Source organism: Homo sapiens, chromosome 5 (genome assembly GCF_000001405.40).
Source record: "Homo sapiens chromosome 5, GRCh38.p14 Primary Assembly".
NCBI lineage: Eukaryota > Metazoa > Chordata > Mammalia > Primates > Hominidae > Homo > Homo sapiens.
In genome coordinates, this window is record NC_000005.10 from 180,586,235 (window position 1) to 180,594,268 (window position 8,034).

An 8,034-nucleotide genomic window follows, 5' to 3' on the forward strand; every position below is an offset into this window, starting at 1 on the left:
ATATTGTGGGCTTTGTTTCTGGCCACTGCAGTAAGCAAGTCGTTAACTTTTTGGTTTCTCAGTGCATGTAAAAGTTGTTTACATGATAGTATAGTCTATTCATTATGCAATAGCATTATGTCTTAAGGAACATGCCTTAATTTTAAAATACTTTATCGCCTAAAAATCTGAGCCTTCAGTGAGTCATAATCGTTTTACTGGTAGAGGATCTTGTCTCAGTGTTGATGGCTGCTGACTGATCAGGGTGGTGGTTGCAGAAAGTTGGGGTGGCTGTGGCAATTTCTTAAAATAAGACAATAAAGTTTGCAGCATTGACTCTTCCTTTCACAAAAGATTTCTCTGTATGTTGCATGCAATGCTGTTTGATAGAATTTTACCCACTGTAGAACTTCTTTCAAAATTGGAGTTAATCCCCTCAAAACCGGCTGCTGCTTTATCAACTAAGTTTATGTACTCTTCTAAAACTACATCCTATATGGTCACTTCAGTGAGGTTCACAGCCTCTTCACCAGGAGGAGATTCCATCTCAATAAACCACTTTCTTTGCTCATCCATAAGAAGTAACTCCTCACCTGTTCAAGTTTTATCATGGGGTTGCAGTAATTCAGTCACATCTTCAGTCAGGCTTTGCTTCTAATTCAAGTGGTCTTGTTATTTCTCCCACATCTGCAGTTGCTACCTGAAGCCTTGAACCTCTTGGTTATCCATTAGGCTGGAATCAACTTCTTCCAAACTCCTGTTAATGCTGGGGTGTTTTTTTGCGGGGGGAGGTGGGACAGAGGCTTGCTTTGTCACCCAGAGGAGTCTCACTCTGTCACCCAGGCTAGAGTGCGGTGACGCAATCACAGCTCGCTGCAGCCTCGACTTTCCGGGCTCAAGCGACCCTCTCACCTAAGCCTCCAAAGTAGCTGGGACTACAGACGTGCGCCACCACACCCAGCGAATTTTTAAAATTTTCTGTAAAGACAAAAGACTTACCTTGTTGTCCAGGGTGATCTTGAACTCCTGGACTCAAGGGATCCTCCTGCCTTGACCTCCCAAAGTGCTGGGATTAGCCACTGTGCCAGCCATGAATTAAAAAAAAAAAAAAAAAAAAAAAAAAAAAAAAGCTGGGTGCAGTGGCTCACACCTATAGTAGCAGCTACTTGGGAGGCTGAGGTGGGAGGATCGCCTGAGCCCAGGAGTTCAAGGCCGCAGTGAGCTGTGATCGCATCACTACACTCCAGCCTGGGTGACAGAGTGAGACTCCATGTCTAAAAATATCAGGCATTTACAATTATGCTTCCAAGTGTGATCTTGAGCCTTAAGGTCTTACTCTTACATCATCAGCATCTTCTTTTAACTTGGCCGGAAACCTGACTTCAATGACATTAACCTAATTATACATCTGAGTTATCTATCACAGAAGATGCACAGAACGGCCTCAGTATCGCAATACCACCAGTAAGAGAAGTTTAAAATTATTTTCACAGTTCCTCTTGTCCTTGGGGTGGAGCCACCGCAGGGCGGAGAATTCAATTACTACATTTTTACATTACTTAGAATAGTTCCTTGGTGGTTAGGCCCCCGCTTAGAAACCCAGTTAAGTTTCTTTCTTTTCCTAACTTCAATTTTTAGAGGCTGCTTTAAAGAATTTGTGTTTGGTCTTTTGTGACAATATAAAATATTTTTAAAATAGTAACCATTTTATAACATTTCATCCTTGGGCTGGGCGCCATGGCTCATGCCTGTAGTCCCAGCACTTTGGGCATGGCATTCTTGCCTTTGAGGGGTCGACTTCAGTTGTCTTATACGTCCCTGCTGAAGCATGTGTACCTTTTCCCTGTGATATACAAACCCTGGGTCTGGGAGTTGACGGTGTGGGGATGCACCGCCTCAAGGCCATCCGAGACATAGCTTCTGTTTTCAAGTCCCCATTAAATGTTTCTTTGTGAGATACTGGACTTGTCAGACTCTTTTTGACCCCTTAGCTCCCTTGGTCTTTGGGGGCAGGTCTGCATATACCTGCTCACTGAAGAGCAGTATGTTTGGGACCAGTATCTCCAGGATTATGATGGTCTCTCTTCCAGGAATCTACAGGAGGAAGGAAGCTAGACGTTGCAGCTGGTCTTGGAACTTCAACTGGTGTTCGCAGTTTCCCTTTTTCACTAAGCACTTTGCTTTCCCCCCGTTGTTTTCCTGGAAAGATTCCAGGGGTGGAGGGTAGCAGGGCCATCTCGGGATGGGGTCCTTCATCTAGTACCACATAGTACCACAGCCCACCCACCGTCAGTTCCACCAAGCTCCCGTAGCCTACCATGTTCTCATAATGATTTACCTGGATGTTTTAATCCAGTTAGTTAAGGAATTGTTAGCAGACAACCTGCAGAAAGCCTGGATATGTAATACTGGGGGAGGTGGGCCTGGGGTCGTGCTGAGGTCGGTGTCCCCATGACCTTGTGATTCTCACTCTTGGTTCCTGTTGTCCAGACCAAAGCCTTCCCCACCCCATGAAGATTCACAGCCCTTCATGACCTTGGGGGCAACGTGTTGCTCAGATTTCATGGAATCTGGATCCAGGTGGCTTCTTCCCTGTTGTGGTTTGACTGTGAACTCATCAAAATGGCTAAAATTTTTATTTTATTGTACTATTTATGTATTTTGAGACGGGGTATCTCTCTGCTGACCAGGCTGGAGTGCAGTGGTACAGTCACGGCTCACTGCAGCCTGACCTGTCTGGCTCAAGTGAACCTCAGCCTCCCGAGAAGCTGGGATTACAGGCACACGTCACCATGCCCGGATAACTTCGGTACTTTTTTTTTTTTAGACGGAGTCTCGCTCTGTCACCAGCCTGGAGTGCACTGACACGATCTTGGCTCACTGCAACCTCTGCCTCCCCAGTTCAAGCGATTCTCCTGCCTCTGCCTCCCGACTAGCTGGGACTACAGGCGTGTGCCACCATGCCCAGCTAATTTTTGTATTTTTAGTAGAGACGGGGTTTCACCATGTTGGCCAGGATGGTCTCGATCTCTTGACATCGTGACCCGCCTCAGCCTCCCAAAGTGCTGGGATTACAGGTATGAGCCACCGCGCCGGCCAATTTTTGTATTTTTTGTAGACACGGAGTTTCCTCACGTTGCCCAGGCCAGTTTCAAACTCCTGGACTCAAGTGATCCACCTGCCTTGGCTTCTCAAAGTGCTAGGGTTACAGGTGTGCGCCACCGTGCCCAATCAAAAAATTTTTAAAATCTCGTGTGGATATTCATGATGGGGGGAAGACCTGCTCAAGCCACCTGAGGCAGAGTTATTCATCCCAGCAAGGAAGTCAACTGGGAGGCTTCCCCTGAAAGGGACACCGATGTCTGGGTTCCCTGGGCACCTTCCCACCAACACTAGATCAGTTGACAAAAGGTGGTCTCTCCGCTAGAGTAGAAGGAATCAAAGTCACTAGGTTATTTGGACAAAACCAGCAGAAACTGCAGGGAAAACAAGCCCAACAGCGGATTTCCTGAAGCCCTCATTCCTCCCCCATTCCGAGGAAGAAATCTACAAGTATAGAGGGAAAAAATAAAAACTTTCAAATTTTAGCAACAAATGGCTTTGGTGCGTTTGCATTCTCGCCAGTCTTCAAGGAGTAGATAATTTTTATGCTTCATAAACAGTTACAGAGCACAACAGGAAGAAAGACCTGCCAGTTTTGTTTCCAAATCCGGTTTACCTCTGATACTGGCCCCATCTCTGTCACCTTGCACTGCTGGCTCTATGCCACCTGCAGACTCTCGCGGCCTCTCTCTCCCTCTCTCACGCAGCACCCCTCACAAAATCTGGGACTTGGCACTCTCGGTCCCCCACAGGGATCAGCATTTGGATGAGAAAATACCAGGCTCGAGCTGCTCTTAACCACGTTTATTGAGAGGGGCCGGGGGAAGGGGATGGACGGTCCTCCCCGCGGCGGGGTTTTCAGCCCTCGCGGGTGGGCAGCGTCTTGTCCTCAGGTGTAGATGCTCCAGTCTCGGCTCAGCCAAACACTGTCAGGGCCCCCTGGAAAGCAGAAGCCGAGCTTGAGTGCCCCCAGCCCTGCCACCAAGAACTCAGGCGGGGGCGCGGCAGCGGCCGGCTCTGTGGGGAGCGGGAGCGGGGCGGTTCCGCTGGCGTCTCCGGGGGACGCGCACCCGCGCGGGGCCATCTCCGCCTTCCCCGCCCCTGCAGCTCGGATGCGCCCCACCCAGTTCCCACCCGGAGACCCGGGCTTCTCCCAGGGACAGGGCTTGGAGGGGCAGGACGGGAAACAGCCCTGACGTAGGGCCGGGACACCTCTGGTGCAGTTTTGAGGCTGGCCGGGAAGGGATGCCCGCGCAGGAAGGGCACCCGGGGTGCCCACTTTACCAGCAGGGCCTTCAGGGCCTTCACGGCCCCCACGGCCTGGGGACCCAGCTCAGCCACACACTTCTGGGAGCCCTCTATGAGGTGGTTCACGGGGATGCCCAGGCTGCTCAGCAGGAGCTTCAGCGGGTTGAGGGTGCCGAGGGGGTTGGCCAGGGTCCCGGCCCCGGCCTCCGCCGCCGACTCCAGCGCAGCGACAGGCTGGGCCACAGGCTTGGCCGAGCCCACTAAGAAAGCAGCAGCTGCAAGCGAACAGGGAGGGGTCACCGCCTGCGCGCCGGGGTCCCCAGAAGGCAGGTCCAGGACGCGCCCCCGCGGGAGGCGCCCAGGAACCGTCGCGCCCTGCCCGGCTCCCCGACCGCCCCTCCCTCCTGCGCCGAGGCCTGCCAGGTGCGAGCCCCCGGGACACAGGCGGGTCTGGGGAGGCGGCCCCGCCAGGAGACGCTGCAGGGTCACCGGAGTGGCCTGAGGGTGGCGGAAGGACCGGTGAACTCTGTGCAGGGTCCGGGACAGGCCCCCAAGGGAGGGGACACTCGCGCTGCGCCTTGCAGGATGAGGAGCCGGTCTCCAGACGGGGGGCAGACGGGTGTCCCCAGGCCAGGGGCGGCCTCCATCCCGGCACGAGGCTGGAGACAGCCCTGAGAGGGGGAGGCCGCGGGCTGCAGGCGCGGGGCCCCGGGGTGGCGGAGCCCTCTGGGCGCCGGGCGAGGCTGGAAGGACCTGGGATCCACGATCGGCGCAGGCAGCGGCGGGGGCGCAGCGGGCGCCGAGGCCTCAGGCCCCACCGTGCGCGCCAGGAGCCCGGGGCGCTCACCGGAGCTGCAGGACAGGGCCACGCAGAGCCCCAGGAGGGCGGCGAGCTTCATGGCGCGGGGGCTCGGGGCGCGCGGGGAACCTGCGGCTGCCCGGGCAAGGCCACGAGGCTTCTTATACCCGGTCCTCGCCCCTCCAGCGCCGGCCTCGCCCGCGCTCCTGAGAAAGCCCTGCCCGCTCCGCTCACGGCCGTGCCCTGGCCAACTTCCTGCTGCGGCCGGCGGGCCCTGGGAAGCCCGTGCCCCCTTCCCTGCCCGGGCCTCGAGGACTTCCTCTTGGCAGGCGCTGGGGCCCTCTGAGAGCAGGCAGGCCCGGCCTTTGTCTCCGCGAGGCCCACCCCGGCCCGCACCTTCGCTTTGCGGTCTGACCCCACGCGCCCCCCTGCAGGGCTGGGCCCGGGTGAGGGGAGCTTCCCTCGCGCCAGGGCAGGGGCGGGGGCGGCGCAGTTCCTGGCTCCCTGGTCCCTGCCTCTGATCCCAGACCGTGGCAACGTCGGGCACTGGGGGTCCTCGTGGGCGCCTTCTGCGCCTGGGGAGGTGGAGGCGCCAGGGACGATCAGGCCTCACTCCCGGCCGCCTCCCCGGCCGGGCCACAGGCAGCCACAGTGCAAACAGAAGTGGGGCGTTTTTCTGTCTTCGAAACTAGCCTCGACGCCAGTGGATGGGCCTGGTTTGTTCCTGAGTTTCTCTAAATGTCCTCACTCGTCTGTCACCTGCAGAAGTATGACAGATGGAGAGCAAAGCACATTTTGAAAACTTTTGCAAATGATACATAAACTAATTTGCTTTTAGTCCTTCTTCTTTCCTCTATTTTTTGACCCCAGGCATTGAGCACTGAGTGACTCACGTTTTGCTGCGTGGCTGCTCTCAGCTAGGTTGGTGCAAAGTCTCTCTTTTCTTTTGTAAAGTGTAGCTGGCACGCGTGGGAAACAGGCTCCCGGGTGGGAGGACCTGACTCTTCAGGCAGTGTCCTGGAATTCCTTCCCTATGGCTGACAGCACGTCTTAGCCCTCAGCCACCCCGAGCTACTGCGGCCTCCTCCGCACCTGCAGACACTTGTGCCTTTGCCAACTGTTGTGGCCAGGCACACGCATTCACACTGTTTCTGTTCACTTACACTTTTCCTTGACTATTTTGTTTGGGGGATTTTTGCATTATAAATCTGGAGTTTGGTTGTGTTTTGTTGGTCATCATGGAAGTAATTTTAATGGGAAATACGTTTTCTTTTTTAAAAACAGTTTGAAGTTAATTACTTTTTTGGTGGTGGTAAAGACACTGTCTTGCCGTGTTGCCCAGGCTGGTCTCGAACTCCTGAGCTCAAGCAATCCTCCCACCTCAGACTCCCAAGTAGCTGGGACTAGAGGTGTGAGCCACCACACTCAGCGGATTTTGATTTTGTTTTTTGTTTGTTTGTTTTTTGAGACAGTCTCACTCTGTCGCCCAGGCTGGAGTGTAGTGAGGTGATCTTGGTTCACTGCAGCCTCCACCTCCCAGGCTCAAGCAATTCTCCCACCTCAGCCTCCCAAGCAGGTGGGGCTATAGGTGTGCACCACTATGTCCAGCTAATTTTGTTTATTTTTTGTAGAGACAAAGTCTCACTGTGTTGCCCAGACTGGTCTTGAACTCTTAGCCTCAAGTGATACTCTTGCCTCAGCCTCCCAAAGTGCTGGGATTACAGGTGTGAGCCACCACGCCTGGCTTGATTTATTTTTATTTTTTCTAGAGATGGGGTCTCGCTACATTGACCAAGCTGGTCTCAAAATCCTGGCCTGAAGCAATCCTCCCGCCTCAGACTCCCAAGGTGCTGTGATGACACGTGTGAGCCACCCCGCACAGCCCAGCTTCACCATCTTAAGGGCACACTCCATTAGCATTAAGTATATTCTAATGTTGTGCAAACATCACCACAATCCATTTCCAGAACTCTTTTCCTCTTATAAAACTGAAACTCTGAGCCTATTAAACAACTCCCCACTCCCCTCCCCAAGCCCTTGGCACCACCATTCCACTTTCTGTCTCTGAATCTGGCCACTCCCGGCACCTCATATGAGTGGAATCGGGCAGTGTTTGTCTTTTGTGTCTGGCGTATTTCACTTAGCATGATATCCTCCAGGTTCATTCATGACCTTCAGAGTTTCCTTCCTTCTTAGGGTAGGATACTGCTCCATTGCATGGCTGTGCCACGTTTTCTTCACCCATTCACTTCACCCGTGGGTGGACATGTGGGCGCTTGCATGTTTTCACTGCTGTGAGTAATGCGGCCGTGAACACGGCTGTGCAAATGCCTCTTTGGGACCCTGCTGTTGGCTGTTTTGGGTGGCTGCTCAGAGGTAGAATGGCTGGAGCCTGTGGAACTTGCCTGTGTCATTTGTGAGGATCTGCCATCTCTCCCATAGCAGCGGCACCACGCTGCCTTCCCAGCAACAATGCACAAGGATCCCAGTGTGTCCACAACCTCATGATGCTTGTTCTTCTCCTGAGCAGGATCTGGCAGCCTTGGCCCAAGCAATCCCAGTGGGCGCATCTTGGGAGCTGACTTTGGGGCCACCTTTCCCCATGCTGCCTGGGGACCAGAGAACACTGACCGCGGGAAAGACCGATGCTGCCGAGGCCAGGAGGAGGGGGAGGCCGTCATCTGTGGGTCCCCAGCAGCGCTTGGGGTCCTGGCCACTCCAGCGGCCCCTTGCACCTGCCTCCAGGGATCCTTTGTCTTCAAAATAACCTCCCTCCACCTTCCGGCTCATAGTGCCTTGGGTGGATCTGTTCCCATTTCCCACAAGCCTGCAGGGTGGTGACAGGCCCTCATTCCCATGTGCCCCAAGATTTCGGATTCCAAAAATACATCCCCTGGCTCCCCGGA

The 8,034-nt window shown here is 54.2% G+C and overlaps 1 protein-coding gene and 1 long non-coding RNA gene across 2 annotated transcripts, besides 3 other annotated features; one reads left to right on the top strand and one right to left on the bottom strand.

Moving 5' to 3' along the window:
- Positions 3,457 to 4,126: an enhancer, noted in NCBI's record as "H3K4me1 hESC enhancer chr5:180016691-180017360 (GRCh37/hg19 assembly coordinates)". NCBI's record gives its function as "activates a minimal SCP1, AML or CMV promoter by ChIP-STARR-seq in primed H9 embryonic stem cells {active_cell/tissue: H9 hESC(primed)}" and the evidence as "EXISTENCE:reporter gene assay evidence [ECO:0000049][PMID:30033119]".
- On the bottom strand, positions 3,871 to 5,265 carry SCGB3A1 (secretoglobin family 3A member 1). Its single transcript, NM_052863.3, has 3 exons — positions 5,177 to 5,265; positions 4,366 to 4,604; positions 3,871 to 4,020 (listed from the first exon to the last, which is right to left on the bottom strand). Exons 1-3 carry the CDS (start codon positions 5,226 to 5,228, stop codon positions 3,997 to 3,999), a joined length of 315 nt encoding a protein of 104 aa, NP_443095.2. The 5' UTR covers positions 5,229 to 5,265; the 3' UTR covers positions 3,871 to 3,996.
- Positions 4,127 to 4,796: an enhancer, noted in NCBI's record as "H3K4me1 hESC enhancer chr5:180017361-180018030 (GRCh37/hg19 assembly coordinates)". NCBI's record gives its function as "activates a minimal SCP1, AML or CMV promoter by ChIP-STARR-seq in naive H9 embryonic stem cells {active_cell/tissue: H9 hESC(naive)}" and the evidence as "EXISTENCE:reporter gene assay evidence [ECO:0000049][PMID:30033119]".
- Positions 4,797 to 5,466: an enhancer, noted in NCBI's record as "H3K27ac-H3K4me1 hESC enhancer chr5:180018031-180018700 (GRCh37/hg19 assembly coordinates)". NCBI's record gives its function as "activates a minimal SCP1, AML or CMV promoter by ChIP-STARR-seq in naive H9 embryonic stem cells {active_cell/tissue: H9 hESC(naive)}" and the evidence as "EXISTENCE:reporter gene assay evidence [ECO:0000049][PMID:30033119]".
- On the top strand, positions 6,936 to 8,034 carry LOC124901154 (uncharacterized). Its single transcript, XR_007059088.1, has 2 exons — positions 6,936 to 6,975; positions 7,659 to 8,034. It is a non-coding gene; the product is annotated as an uncharacterized LOC124901154 (long non-coding RNA).